Raw genomic sequence first — 15,343 nt, 5'->3', positions numbered from 1 at the left:
ATTGAGTTGTAATTTACATATAGTAAAATGCATAGGCCTTCCAAGTAGAACTGTGTAGGTATGTAAGTACTTTTCTCACATGAGAAGCAAGCTACATCTTTGTCGATACTCCTTTCCCCAAAGAACACAAATCTTAATTACTTACGCACTTTGGGTTCCAGGTGAAAGCCCTTGGGTGGATTGAGGTGGTGAGTAATGATCACTTGCTTGCTGCAAGAGAACAGAAAAGAGGAGTTGCTGTTGTGGAATAATGGAATTATTTGCGGAAAGACAACTATTTAGAGTCACAAAGCTGCGAACCATATGACAAAGAGTTTCAAAAATGTTGGTTCTTAATTGCTCATCTCAGAGGTTTGACTTTCGTCTGAGACTATCTGGGGAACTCAGAAACTCCTGGATGTCCATACTGATCTCCTTCAGTGGACGGTAGGCTACAACACAAGGTGCTCTCTTTCCTTTGCTGCAGATAGCAGCTATTGGTGAGAAAACTCTTAAGTTTTGCCATGTTGGGATCTTGTCTTCAGTGAGTCTCCATAGCAGAAAGATCACTAAGTGCTGCACATTATGTTTGAGACAAATGTAAGAGAATGAAAAGCAAATGGTGGTGAAGAAATGTCAGGTTTTATCTTACTTAAGATCATCCTGTAGTTAAGTTCCTAGCTGTAGAACAAAGGAGAAACTGGTCTCTTCCTGACCAGTCAAGGGCTTCAGGAGAAAAAATGAGAAACCATGGTCCCTCTCCAGGTATATGAGTCAGCCTCCTGGAATGCTTTAGACATTTGTGACTAAGAAATGAAGACAGCTGTGCCTCATCAAAGACATTTCTAATTTCCAGTGCAGCCAACTCAAGGCTCCAAAACTTGTGCTTTTCCAAGTGGAAGAGAAGCTATTATATTTATCCTGCGTTTTGCGTGAGTGGAAAGAACAGGGGAACTTTAGCATGTATAAATACAATTAGGATTGGTTCCCCAGATCCTAGTTTGGAGAAGGTAGTCCGCTCACGAATTCACATTTTGAAGTAGCTAAGAAATCTTTCAATGTAGAAGAAAGCATGACACTTTGCAAATATCACAATTAAGACCAAACAGATTTCAGCTTTAAATGCAGGAAGCACACTGACTTATTTGAAGACTGTCATATTGTGCCCCTTCTGATATGTGTTGTCCCAGTTTTCTCCATGAGGGGGGAAATTGCGTTTTTCATCTAATGAACATGATTTACATTTTGTATTGCATATGACATCCAATTCACAGGGTTGACTGCTGCTAAAATGGTTTAGAAAACGGTGGGGAGTGTATATAGCAGATGTAGAAATTAAGAGAAAAAAGACCAAAAAGAAAGGAAAAAATAACACACACACACAGCCTAATGGAAATTTAAGCAAATTTAATCCAATCTCCGTTTTGGAGCCTTGCAAATCACATTCATGCCAGGATTGACATCTGTCACTCAGTAATGACTGCTGTGTGGAAGCCTGGAGATGCCCACGTGTCTAATCACATTCCAGCCACCTAATCTCTCAGGGAGGAGGCTGCTGTGGAGGTCTTGAGTACCTATGATTTCCAGGCACTCATTTATTTGGGGAGAATATAAAGAGAAGGTTACAAAGACTGCCCTCAAGGAACTAACAATAACAGAGAGATGCACATAATTTAAATGCAGTATGACTGATTTGCATCCATGTAGTTTTTCTCTTCTGTCCTGAAGAGATAGTTTAGAGATACCTTCCCAAAACATAGAAGGTAAAAGGAAATGCAGACGCAGTTTTCAGTTCAGACCTTGGAAGATCCTGCGGTAGAAGTGCACAGCTTGGGAACATGTGGAATCAGTGATTAGTTTCATTGGTTAGTTCATTTACAGTTGGGGAAGCTGAATCAAATTTAAAAGGGATCAAAAACAAATCAAGTGCTTAAAAGAGGGAATTGAATACAGGAACTGGTTGTACAGATGAAAGGAACACCCCTCCACCCCAATCCCCACCACCAAATCCCTGCTTTTGTGGGCTTATGAGAAGGGCAGCAAGGAGCCCAGTGTGGCTGGAATGGAGCCAGAAAGCCAGGGAGTAGAGAAAGATGAGGTCAGAGGGTTAGCTGTGGCCGATCATAGGGTGGTTCTCAATTGGCCACCCTTGGGATGTGTTTGGAAATGTGTGGTGGCAGTTCTGTTGTCACAGTGAAGCCTTGAAGGCATTTAAGCTGGCTAGGGCTAACAAAGCCCTGCTCAACAAAAAGAATTGTTCAAACCCAAATACCAATGTTTGCTGTTGAGAGATGCTGAAGACCTCGTAAGCCCTCATCAGATTTCACAGAACAAAAGCAGATGATGAAAATCGGGATGACCTGCCAGCAAGCGGGCTTTGAGAAAAGAAAGAGTTGCTTATCGCAGAAAGAGTGCCAGCTTAGAGATTTTAGAACAGCAAACCATTTTGGTGGGAGAAATTAATCTCGTGATAAAAAGCCTAGAAACTAGAAAGGTCATCAAGGGATTACTCTAGTTAGGATATAATTGGGGTTATGGAGCTGAATGAGTAGGTTGTAGAAAGAAAATGGATTTCAGACTTAGAAAGCGAGACTTAAAGTAATATACCCGATGGGTGGTTCTGAGCAAGTTACTTGACTCTTAGTCTGCATTGCTGTTTATTGCAATACAGTTGCATAACTAGATCTGAATGTATGAACATTTTTATGTTTGGGTTTTTTAAATAATTGAAATGTAGAAGATACCAATAGAAAGAACTCTGTCGTATCTTTTATGAATAACCCCTGTTAACATATTATCCATTCTTCCAGTCTTTTATTTTCTCCACACCCACATACACACAATCCTGTATATATTGTCATCCAGTAGTATCTACTATTCTGTAATATGCCTTTTTCATTTAATATTTGGTAAATCTTTCTAGGTCATTACATATTCTATATGATTTTTAGTGGCTATGTACAATTTCATTGGATGGATGTAACATCATTTATTTCATTCCCTTGCGATGGACACTAAGGTGAGTTCCTCTTATAATGGTCCTTGTTACATATTATACAGTTTCTCAGGAGGATTTTGCCCCTTTATGTTCCCTGCAGCCCTATGCAAGAGAGCCTGTATTACTGCAACCCCACCAGCGTAGAGTATTATTTTTCTCTTTACCACCTTGATAGGTAAAAAAGTAGCATTTTATTTACTTAATAAACCAGTTACTTAATAACTGCATGGTTGAGTATTTTTTCCATATGTCTATCGTCCATTTGTATTTCTTCTGTAAATTGTCTATTTGTATTCTGCATCACAGGCAAATTAATTAACTTCTCTGAACTCCTGTTTTCTCAGCTATTAGATGGGGTTTCTGTGGGGTGTAAAAGGGATTATATACATTGCAGGTCCAGAATATGGCAGGTACTCAAAAGTACTACTTCCCTTTAGTTTTTTCTTGGATTAACAGCTCCAGAGAATGGAGACTCTTTTCTTTATTGTACCCCAGCACTGAGCACAGTGCTTGGCACATAGAAGGGACACAAAAAGTTTTAAGGAAGGAAGAATAGTGAGATTTGGAAATATTTTGAGCATATCAGGAAAAGGGGTGAGAAAAGTTGAAGCCAAGATCCAATGAATCGCCAGTGAGAAAACTGGTGTGTTCCTCAGATGCTTACTAATATTGATGTGAAAGAATTTGAATCTTATTCAAAAACTCTACTAGGAAAAAATTTCTTACAGACAGATGTAGCTAAAGGGTATTAAAAACCTATATTCAAGGCTGTAACCAGCCTTGAGAAGTTGGGTAATTATTACTTTGTAAGCAAAGTATTTTAAGTATACTAGGAAAAGTCACTAGTAAAGGGATTAATATAATTAAGTTTTTGTAGGGTGAATAACTTTTTTTTTTTTTTTTTTTTGAGACAGGGTCTTGCTCTGTCACCCAGGCTAGAGTGCAACGGCAAAATCTCAGCTCACTGTAACCTCCACCAGCCGGGTTCAAACGATTCTCGTGCCTCAGCCTCCTGAGTAGCTGGGACCACAGGCGTGGGCCACCACACCTGGCTACTTTTTGTATTTTTAGTAAAGATGGGGTTTCACCATGTTGGCCAAGCTGGTCTGGAACTCCTGGCCTCAAATGACCCACCCTCCTCGGCCTCCCAAAGTTCTGGGATTACAGGCATGAGCCACCGCGCCCAGCCTGTGAATAACTTAATTTCAAAAAATGATGAATCCCGATTTTCACATATTAGATATGCCTAGGCTGGGAGTACATGTGCAATAACAATATAATATAAAAATGATAATAAGTTAAAGTAACCCAGAGAAATGGTGCCTCAAATGGAGAGGAGAGGATTGCTGTCAGGTCTTGTTTCATTCAACATGTCCTATGATCGTGAGGGAGAAGGAGTCAGTGGTTTGTTAATGAGATTTGCAGATGGCTTTAAATTGAGAGGTATTGTAAACAGCGGGAATGACTGAGAAATGATACAAGAGGATCTGGAAAGGTTAGGAACATGGACAGGAAATCAAATGATTCAGCCTGGAGTAATGCAAGCCAATCTGACATCTGGGGCCAAATACGAAGCAATACAGATATGCCATGAAAGAAGCAAATATGGAAAATAGTCATCTCAAAGGAGGTTGGGAGGGTGGGTACTAGAGGAAAACGAGAGACATGGGAAGAAGGATGTCAAATGCCCACTATGTGCCTGGTATTTATCATGTTGATTTCTTTTTGACCAAGGATAATTCAGTGCTGGGAAAGAAATTAGTTTTTTGAGGATTAATTATGCACAAGAGCTTGGGTACTTAGTGAAATAAAAACTCAACCTGCCTCTAGTTGATCCTAATGAGTGTTCTCAGTGTTGATCCTAATGAGTGTTCTCAGTGTAGAGTGAGAGTGTAGAGTGTTCTCAGTGTAGAAAGCATTGTGGAAGTGGCCCAGGGTCTCCAGAAGAGCTCCAGGGGAGATAGCGCTTGCCACATATCTGCCTGGGCATTTCTCATTCCATGGGTATTTCTTAGAATTGTTGGAGAAGCCTCCACCCGGCTATCCTAGGTGCCAGCAGCACGATGGGGGGCTCACAAAACCTTTGGTGAATTAGCCCAGTTGTCCACCTTAGGCAAAAATAAGGTGTGTGCCCCATGATCTGTTCCTTCCATTTGTGTCCCTCTTTTTCGCTCCTCTGGGACATTCATGTTAGCCTCTAGTAACATAGAGCTCCCAATCCAGCCCTTTGCTTGGGTTTCCCACTATACCGTATCCTTCTCTCTTGCTATAAAGTTCTGGCAATCGTTTGTATTTCCTCTAGATGTCAATGAGCTAAATCTGGTTTAACAGCAGCATTGGCTTAATTTACAATCTGCAATATTTCTTAAAATGGGGTCACTAGTTCTCATTTTTTTTAGTTTTAAGGTCTTGAGAAATTGGATCACAGTTCAGATTTCATGGGAATAAGGAGAAAGAGGACCAAATTACTCTAGGGAGGATAAACCCTGAACAGACACTATTGACTGTATCCATTCCCTGTCCTGAGGAGAGGACCAGAGCACTGGGATGAAAAATGTGTTGAAGGAGTGAGCTAGAAAGGAAATGGATCAAAGACATCTCATTTGTAGTTCGTTCAAACTTGTAAGATATGTTAATGGCTCAGATTGGAAACCTGAAGCTGAATGTATCACCTGTCCAATAATATTTGCCTTATACTAGGGCCCCTTGTGATTGAAGCCTAAAACATTAATTCAATAAGCATCTACTGAGTGCCTCCTATGTTCCAGGCACTGTTCTTGGTGTTCAGGATACATCAGTGAACAAAACAAAGACCTCTGCCTTTGTGATTCTTACACTCCAGCAGAGATGACAGTTGATAGTGAACCTAATAAATAAGCAGATTGCATCACATAATAGGAAGTGATATGTGCTATGGAAAAAGAAAAAAGTAAAGCAGGGCAAGGAGGCTGGGACCACTGGGGCTGGGGCAAGTGACAGTATGAAATATGGCAGGATAAGTGGCATTGGGAAGATGGCATTTGAACAAAGCCATGAAAGAAGGGTGGGGCTGGCCTCTAGTATCCGACAGCATTCAAGGCAGAGGGCACACATAGAGCTTGTCTGGCATGTCTCAGAAACAGCAAGGAGGCCAGTGGTCAGGAGCAGAGTGAGCAGGGGAGACCACGAGATGAGGTTGAAACTCAGGGGAGGGAGCAGACCAGGTAGGAGCTTGAAGGCATTTTTAAGGCTTTGGCTTTTACCCTGTGTCATTGCAGTTTTTGAGTAAAGAAGTGATGCCACTGATTACTTTTTAAGAAGGATTACTTGAGCTATGGTTCTGGTGCTAGACAAGGGTGTATAAGCAGGAAGAGAAGCTGGGAGTATATTGTAGTGACTTTGAGCCAAGAGTTGGTGGATCAGGATGGTAGCAGTGGAAAGGTAGGAAGAGAATGGATTCTGGGTGTACCTTGCAGACACTATCAACAAGATTAGATGTGGATTGTGAGAGAAAGAGAGAAAGATGACTTCAAGATTTTTGGCATGAGCACTGGCTTAATCAAGTTGCTATCAACTGAGATAAGGAAGGCTATGAGTAGAACAGTTTTTGAAGGGAGATGAGGAGTTCCATATTTGACACATTGAGTTTGAGATGTCTATTGAACATCCAAGTGGAGATGCTGAGTAAGGCTGGAGACCAGGAGGTACTAACTGAAGAGTTGTTAGGGTAAAGGTGTTATTTAATACCATGAGACGGGATGAGACGATCAAGGGTTTAAGTTATAGAGAAGAGGACTAGGAACTGAGCCCTGAGGTATTCTGAACACTAAGAGACCATGGAGAACACCAGCAAGGAAGGCTAAGCCCAATGAGGTAGGAAAAAAATGGAAATAATGTGTTATTCTTGATGCCAAATGAAGAATGTGTGTCAAGGAAGAGGTGGTGATTTGCTGCACTGAATGCAATTGATGGATCATGTTAAATGAGGACTGATGCCTGACCATTGGATTTAGCAAAATGGAGGTCATTGGTGACCTTGACAAGCAGTTTTGATGGAATGGTGGGGGCATAAGTCTGATAGGAATAGGTTCAAGAGAGACTAGGAAGAAAGAAATTGGGAAGAGAGAGAAGAAAAAAATGATGAATATGATAATTATAAACAGCATAAGAAGTCTGGGGAAGATACCTAGAGGTAAAAATGCCTTCCCCTGGGTCCTCCAGCTCACATCAAGGAGGCAGCCACTTATTTATTTATGTATAGCTGGAAAGCAAATTAATGTGCAGCAGCAGTGTTAAGCTAGGTCACTGGGAAATCTTCCCCATTAACGGAAATCCACATGGGGTTTAACAGGGTTTGTTGAGGGACTTCTAATTTATTACAAAAATATTGCTGTTTGAAACATGGGCTTTCTGTCACAATGATGAGCTAAATTATTTTAATAAATAGGGTCTAGCATATTAATACTTCTATACTTAGTTAAGCCAGGTGATGTGGAGACCAAATCAATCACTGGGGTATTTTCTTCTTTGTGGAGGATTTTAGCTTCTGTGGTTTAGGTAATAGATTTTTTTTTCTACCCAGGCCTGGGACCTAGAGTGCATATGAAGTAAGTCGCATCTTTATTTTCCACTTGAGCTAATTAATGACTGCATGCATTCATCAGGAGACAGGATGAGAACATATTTGAAAATTAAAGGGTTATCCCTACAGAAGACATTGAGGGTGCTGCATGGAGCATAAGGATGGATTAGGAAAAATGTAATATTTTAAGGGCACAGAATAGTCTGAACAAAAGCAGAGGCCATGGCGTCATCCTCTCTCTTACCTTCTCTAACTAGTCAATCACCTCATCCTGTCTGTTTCTTGCTGTGGTCATTACTTAAATTGGAACCGTTGGCCTCCCCCACAGTCCTGGTTTGTCTTTTCTTTGCCTTTGTGTTGCCTTTTCTTTCCTGGGTTACTGTTACAGATGCACCATTGGCCTCTCAGCTTCTGGATTTGCTCCTTTTCAATGCATTTTCTACCTTGTTCAACAAAGATCTTTCTCAAATACGAAATAATCGTGCTTCACTGTTGCTTAACACTTTGAATGGCTCCTTACTGTTATCAAGTTTAAACTCCTATGACAGCTTATAAGACATTTCATCACCTGGTTCTAGTTTATGCCCCACCTTCTGTCTTCGCCATTGAAGATCCAGCCATGAAACTACTCATATCTCCAAATTCTCCAGACTTTCTTTTAAATCTTTGGATCAGAGATTCCAATGAGGGATAGGAGAAGCCATAAAATCAATGTAACAGGGCTAAACAGAAAATTAGAGTTTTAAGCTCCATTAAAATAGAAATACAAGGATGTCCTTTGTTTGAATATTCCTTATATTCAAATTATACCAGATGTTTCTATTTCCACTTGTCTAATGCATGTGCATAACAGCACTGCACATAAACCAGTAGTTGGCCCCTCATTCTCCACTTGGCTTTCGGAACTCTCATGGTCAGTCTTTGGCCCTGTATTCACACTTTGCTCACTCTACACACTCTTCCTTGCTTGCCTTTCCAATCCCTGGGCTTCAAATGTTGCCTGTATTTGGAAGTCTTACAGATTGACATCTCCAGCCCAGGGATCTCTTCTGAGATCAGACTCCTGCCCAAAGAGAGATGTCCAAGAGGTCTGAGCAATCTCAAGCCTGTATCTAAGGCTAAACTGTGATCTTCAGTCCATCAAAGTCTCTTTTTCTGCTAGTCTTTCCCATCTCAATAAATGTCACCTGTATCGCTCCATTGCTCAAGCCAGAAGCATGGAAACTTACCTCTTTTTCAGTTTGTAAGTAAACCGACATGCAGGCAATGTTTGAAATGTTTTATGCATGTTAACTTGTTTAATCCTCATAACAAATCTTCAAGGTAGCTACTATTATTATCACCCACTTTTTAGATGAGGAAACCAAGGCACAGTGAGGTTAAGTAATTTGCCCAAGGTCACATAACTTACTAATGGAACTGGGATTTAAACTCAGACAATCTAGCTTCAGAGTTCATGTGCTTAACCTCTACCCCAACTGTTATTCTTAGCACCTTTAATTCACCCTACATAGAAACAATCAAAGTGCAATCAGTTCTGGCTCCCAGAATCTCCTGAATTCATCAACAGTCATAGGCGTCATAGTCTTTTGCTGCAAGTATCATAATAACTCCACAGGGATCTCCAGTTCCGTCCTTGTCCTCCCGCAACTCTCCAATCCCAGGCATTCTTCCCAGAGAAGCCAGATCTTAGCTTTGATGTAATTTTTTCCCCCGATTGGGAATCCTTCCTTGGCTCTCATAACTGAATCACATCCCCCCAGTTATTTTCCGCAGAACATCCTATTGTCTTCTTTCATATTAAGTTTTCTAATTTAAAATGCTGCATCTGTGTTTTACATTTTTTAAAGCAAGCACCATGACAGCAGGGATTTGATTTTATTTTCTGCTATCTACCGAGTCCCTAGCACAGAGCTTCGCACATAGTAGGTACTTAGTAATATTTGTGAACAGTTGGATGAATGAGTCCCTAATAATAAGTAAAAAGTGACTGTATAATTTTTATTTTATGTATTAAAATGAAGGTACAGTGATACCTTTTTATAATGAACTAATGAAAGGAGGCTCATGAATTAATGAAAAATATATAACATATGACTTTTAAAAACTACAATGCAGTTTTATTGTTTCAATGAAGAACATTGTATAATTTGGTTATGCATGCCACCCATTGCTTCTAACCCCACACTCCTTTCTAAGAGATTCCATCCATACTCTCACACCCCTAGCTCAGCTCATTGGACCAGGGATGGAAACTGACCCAAGCTGGGCAAATTAGATTCTCCCTGTTCAGAATTTAGAATCAGGAAACTGAGAAACAGATCTTTAAAGTAACTGCATTCATCTATCTGTCAAATGTTTTTCAAGAATCTAGAATGAGCTGATTATTGGAGATATGATGAGGAAGATACCTTGAAGGTTTTTACAATCATCTGAGAAAACTGATGAATAAAGCTGCTGCTGAAATTCAGAGTGTTGAGTGCTGTGATATAGGTAATATAGGATGTAAGTACTATAGAAGCATATAGGAGAGGTCCCTTATTCAATCTTGGGAAGGATGAGAAGCTTCCCAGGGGAGGTGATATCTTAGATGGAAGAAAGCTTTATAGATCCAGGGGAGAGTGGAGGTGAGGGGGATGGCATTCTAATCAGATGGAACAGAAAATGCAAACAGTGCATTCAGTCTGGTGTGCAAGAGTTATGCTGAGGGTGGAATGTGGTCTCCATCATGAAGGCCCTTGTCAGCCTAAGCGAAGTGTGGGCTTTATCTTGAGGGCAATGAGAGTCCTGAACAATTTGTTGTTGTTGTTGTTGTTGAGACAGAGTCTCACTCTGTCGCCTAGGTTGGAGTGCAATGGCGCGATCTCGGCTCACTGCAACCTCCACCTCCTGGGTTCAAGCAATTCTCCTGCTTAGCCTCCCAAGTGGCTGGGATTACAGGCACCCACCAGCATGCCCGGCTAATTTTTTTTTTTTTTTTTTTTGTATATTTAGTAGAGACGGGGTTTCACCATGTTGGCCAGGCTGGTCTCGAACTCCTGACCTCAGGTGATCCACCCGTCTCAGCTTTCCAAAGTGCTGAGATTACAGGCATGAGCCATCATGCCCGGCCCTGAACAAGTTTTTTTAGCAGAGGAGTGACACGTTCAGATTTGCATTCTAGAAAAATTTCTGTGGTCTTAGCAGGAGAAAGGTTTTAGAAGCAGATGGATCAGTTAAAAGATTGCTATAGAAATTTGGACAAGAAAGGATGATGGCAGGAATAAGTTGACAACAGTGGGAAGAGACAGGGTGGATGTTTAAAGTGATATTTAGGATGATGATGGGAAGGGAGAGAGGAATTAAGCATAAATTCCAGGTTTAAGGCTTAGACTAGCAATAGATAGTGGAGTCACCCACTAAGACAGGATACACATGAGGGAGCTCAAGGAAGAGATTGAGGCTGGAGACATAAACATGAGCATTATCTGCATATAGTTAATTCAAACCTTTGGGTGAGTTTGTGGAGTGAGAAAAGAAGAGGTTTATGGATGGAACCCTAAGTAACTCCACCTTTGAAGTAGCTGGGTGAGGAAGAAAAACCCACAAAAGAGCTTGAGGAGATGCGTCCAGGGAGCCCATTGGAAATACAAGGAAGAGTGAAGTCACAGAAACCAATGGATGAAAGCTTTTCTAGAAAGTTCTAAACAGTGTCAGTGCTCTCACAAAAGGACCTAAACAAGCACAACTCCAAATGTAATTAACTGCTTGTGCATATCTAACAAACATGAATATTTCTCTTAAGTAAGCATTATTCTCAGTAATCTTATTCACAGCCTCGATTTGCTTGTCTCAAGAATGCTTTGAAAATTCTCTAAGAGTGAAGTCTGAATTCGTGAAGGTTTTCCAAATTTGGTTTTCAAATGTTATTACGTGTCGGTTCGTGAAGTGCATTTGAATGTCAGAGTTGAGAATGTGGAAAAAAGTAGACATAAGGAAACTTATTTTAAAAATGTTTTTCAACTTTAAGGAAAGCATCTAACAACCCACTACGTTTAGCATTTCATGTGTGTTTATGACCTGTCAAAAACTGCCAGAAATTTACTTGTGAGCAAGAAGTAAAAGATGTTGCCTGTTTGTTATCTTTCAGAGCGTCCAAATTCTGAAAGCCACTTTGCAACCCAAAAAGAACTTTCCTTCATCAGTGGACATATGTCAAAGAAGAGAAACATTAGTAATAGGATCCAGGCCATGTAATGTTCATTAAACAATTAGATGCTGGTGCCAGTGTGTAATCGCTTTTTTCCATTTTATTTTCAACAGTTTGAGTGTTCCTAAGAGGCTTGCATGGGATTGAATCTGGTACTTTCATCAGAATTTTAGTGTATTTTCAGTATTGGTAACATCTCCTCTCTCCTACTTACACTTTGCAACAGACTCTCCTGGGTCTGATTTGTGCTCCTTCTTCTGAATGTTTAGTCAATTTAATATACACAGTGGAAATATTCTGAAAAAAAAAAAAAAATGCTAGGTTTCCAGCAGAGTCATTTCAAAGATGAGGTGTTGTTTAAAAACAAAACCATACCATCTATCACAATTACAAGGCAGGAAATACAATGCTCTACAATGTTTAATCAGAGCTTTTCTTAAGGACTCTTGTTTTCTCAGCCTTACAAGCACCATAAACTTCTCTGAAGATGATTTTGTGGCATCCCTCTGAAGCTTAAAGTCCTGGAAAAACTGAACAATGTTTACCGAATGCTTTTCATTTAAAACTGTTTTGTTGAATCATTATTGAAATGGAAAAGAAAGTGTAATACGAAGCATTCGTGGTCAATGCTACCTATTCCTGGGTCCAGGACAGAAGGCCTGCGTCTAGCCAAATGCCCAGGATAGAGTACGAGCACAGGCTCTCTTATCTCCTTCTGGGTGAACACGAGGGGTACGAGGGCAGGTGGCAGAGGGCGTGAATCCCAGTCCACAAACACAAGGTTGACGAGTTTTCTTTTGTTTTCTGTAACAACTTAATTTATAATGCCAAGCTCTTATTTCTTCTGGCTGGCAGAAAAAATAAAAAATAAACAAAAAAATGCATAACCTCAGTTTTCCCAGGAGTCCCTCGCCCGTGGTTATTAACGCCAGAGTTTCTGGAGCTCACGCAGTGCCAAGGCCTCTGGGGTGAGGCCCACCTGGTCCTCGCTTCTCTGTCTACAGATCCCTGAGACAGCCTTGCCCTTGCCTGGCTGTCCTGACCCCTCAGGTCTAGTCACTCTGTGCTGTGGCTCCCGGGTCCCCAAGCATCTCTGCTGAGGCCGCCTTTGAGTCATGCTGACATCACTCTCCCAGGAAGCAGTGCTTGGTTCTGTGCTCCTGGAGCCCCATCTGTCTCTCTGTCACCTCTGCATTCACCTCCTGTTAACCAAATGGGATTTCTTTCTAGTTTGGGGAAATTGCTTCTTTCCTTCCATGTTTCTTCAGGACAATCTGTCTTTTGTTTTTTGTTTTTGTTTTTGTTTTCCATCGAATCCTCTTCTGCTGAGGGCTTAGGCTTTTGTTTCCAAAGCTTAGAAGCAAAGTCTTTGCTTTGTGCCTTGCTGCAAACCTCCTGTGAGGCCTGAGCACAGAGTCAGCTATTATCTGCTTGAATGGGAGGTGGCGGGTAGGGGCCGGTGCAGGAGGGCAAGAGAAAAAGCAGGGATAAAATGGATAAAATCACAATAGCTAGCTAGCTCGAAATATTATCCAGCCAGCACTCCACACACATACACCTCCCCTGACTACCCCTGGAATTTGGACACCCAGTGTCTGTGAGGAAATGCCACCTTGCTCCCTTGAGCCACACTTCCTGATTCTGTGGTTCCTGGAGTCTGTGGGTTTTCATATACAGACATGTCCACCATGGAGCCCTGGGAGAGAAACTTCCCTTTAACTGAGAAAGGAGAAGGAGCCCTGGAGAGTCATTCAGTAGCAGGACCAAAAAAAGAGCCACACATCTGAGCACAGCACTCCACCATGTGAACCATTCTGATCCAGCACCCCCGGGGCTTACATGCACTGGATGGGAGGAGTATAGGGAGAAACAGAACAAACTGTAACCCCAGAGTGGGCCCAAGGAAGGCCGCTGCCGGCCTGCACCTTCCCACCTCCACCATCCACACACAAAATGAAACACACAAAAGGGCAGGGTACAGAAGGTTGAGTTCTTTCCCCTCCAGCCAGAGAGAGACCTGGGATGAGCAGGGACATCAAGGGCTTGTAAGTAGCTGGAGAAGGGAGGAGAGATGGCCCAAGGTCAACTAGAGGTCACAGGCAGTGTAGCGCCATCCCAGAGCTTTATCAGATTGACAGGCGCTCTGGAGCGGGAGCTCCAGACAGCATCATCTAGGTGATCAGGAGGCCAGCAGAGCGGGCTAGGGAAGGGCAAGCAGTGGCATGAGTTATGTGTGCTGCAACCTCCTGCCACTGCCACTGGGGTATTCCCAGAGATACAGAAGAAAGGCTGAGGGAAGAAGTTCTGTCATTGTGTAGGTGGGGAACGGGCTAGAGAGGCGGATCTTATTTTAGCAGAATTAGGGGCAAACTGCTAAAGAACCTTAACAAAGATCTGTAAGCTAAACGGAGCCAGGGCAGTTACAGAGCTCCCCATCCACATCCATATCTCCACATCCGTATTTTAATCCACATGCCATAGTGGAATACGATGAGCCTTCTACCAAGGTGAACCCAGGTTTAAATTCCACATCTGACATTTCCTAGTTAAGAAGTTTCTTTGGCAAATTGCACGATCTTGCTATGCCTCTTTTCTCTCATCTGTAAATGAGCATGATAATTTTTATAAAGTATCTAGTATATTACCTGCCACATAAGAAGCATCAAAGAAATCAGAATTGCTGTTGCTGTTATTAGTTTATCACTATTATCATCTGATTCCTTGATTTCACAAAGATCAGGGAAGGAACGTAGTGCAAAAAACCTCTTTTGAGTTTTGCTTTTAAGAGCCTACATTGCACCAGATAAGAGAGGAGAGAATATAATCAAATGTACAATGGATGACTTCTGCGAGACCTTGGACAAGTGGTCATTCTTTGTTCACTCACCAAAGTCACACACTTAGGTTGCCATAATTTCTCTGGGGGTATTAGGACAGTCTGCAAAAATGGTGGCATTTGCTGAACTTAAGCAGTGAACAGCTGTGCTGGGCTAGAAATAGCTTTTCAAACGATGAATTCCTTTGCCAAGTCAAAGGCACAGCTCACAGTGAGCTTGGAACCACAGAAACATATAATAGAGAGGTCTCCTTTTGGGGGTGACACCCAGCAATCTTTCACCTTCAAAACAGGGAGATGGCCAATTTCTAGAGCACATTCTTTGGCCTGTTTTGGAACAAAGACACAAGGAAAGATTCAAGGAAAAGAGAAGCCTTCATAATTTATTAAGGTGACACAGGTTCATCAAATCAAAATCCCAGCAGGAACTGTAAGTTATGAAACTTACAAAGCTTCTGGCTCCTACCTCCTCCGTTGCCTGTTGTCAAGGGCATTTGTGGACATAATAGCCAAATATCTGTCCCCAAAACCCAGGCCAGCTAAGGAAAGCAATACATTTGGTGGAAAAGCCATAAAAATAAAGACATCCTAGTAAAGTGGTTGGACTATTCTTGCTGCATTTTGACCAGAAAAGGGAGCTATGGAAAGATCCTGTCACTGTCTGTGATCTACTCACCATAAAATCATAAATCATAGACAATGGCAATGCAAGGACCTCAAAGGTATAGCTCTTCTCCTCTCTCTTGCACAAAGGCTTTAAGCTAATGTATGGCAGCTTCA

At 41.6% G+C, this 15,343-nt stretch overlaps 2 long non-coding RNA genes across 2 annotated transcripts in view; both read right to left on the bottom strand.

The window, feature by feature from the left end:
• Window positions 1-145: 145 nt before the first annotated feature.
• Window positions 146-15,343, bottom strand: part of LOC105379048 (uncharacterized) — a 115,841-nt gene continuing 100,643 nt past the window's right edge. Inside the window, exon 3 of the long non-coding RNA XR_948500.3 lies at window positions 146-210. This is a non-coding gene — a long non-coding RNA (uncharacterized LOC105379048). The remainder of the gene's footprint in view (window positions 211-15,343) is intronic.
• The window catches only part of LINC01455 (long intergenic non-protein coding RNA 1455), a 31,048-nt gene continuing 23,925 nt past the window's right edge, over window positions 8,221-15,343 (bottom strand). Inside the window, exon 3 of the long non-coding RNA NR_131226.1 lies at window positions 8,221-8,260. This is a non-coding gene — a long non-coding RNA (long intergenic non-protein coding RNA 1455). The remainder of the gene's footprint in view (window positions 8,261-15,343) is intronic.

This window comes from Homo sapiens, chromosome 5 (assembly GCF_000001405.40).
Source record: "Homo sapiens chromosome 5, GRCh38.p14 Primary Assembly".
Classification (NCBI taxonomy): domain Eukaryota; kingdom Metazoa; phylum Chordata; class Mammalia; order Primates; family Hominidae; genus Homo; species Homo sapiens.
Note: the sequence above shows the minus strand (reverse complement) of the source record. Positions and strands in the feature narration are given on the sequence as shown.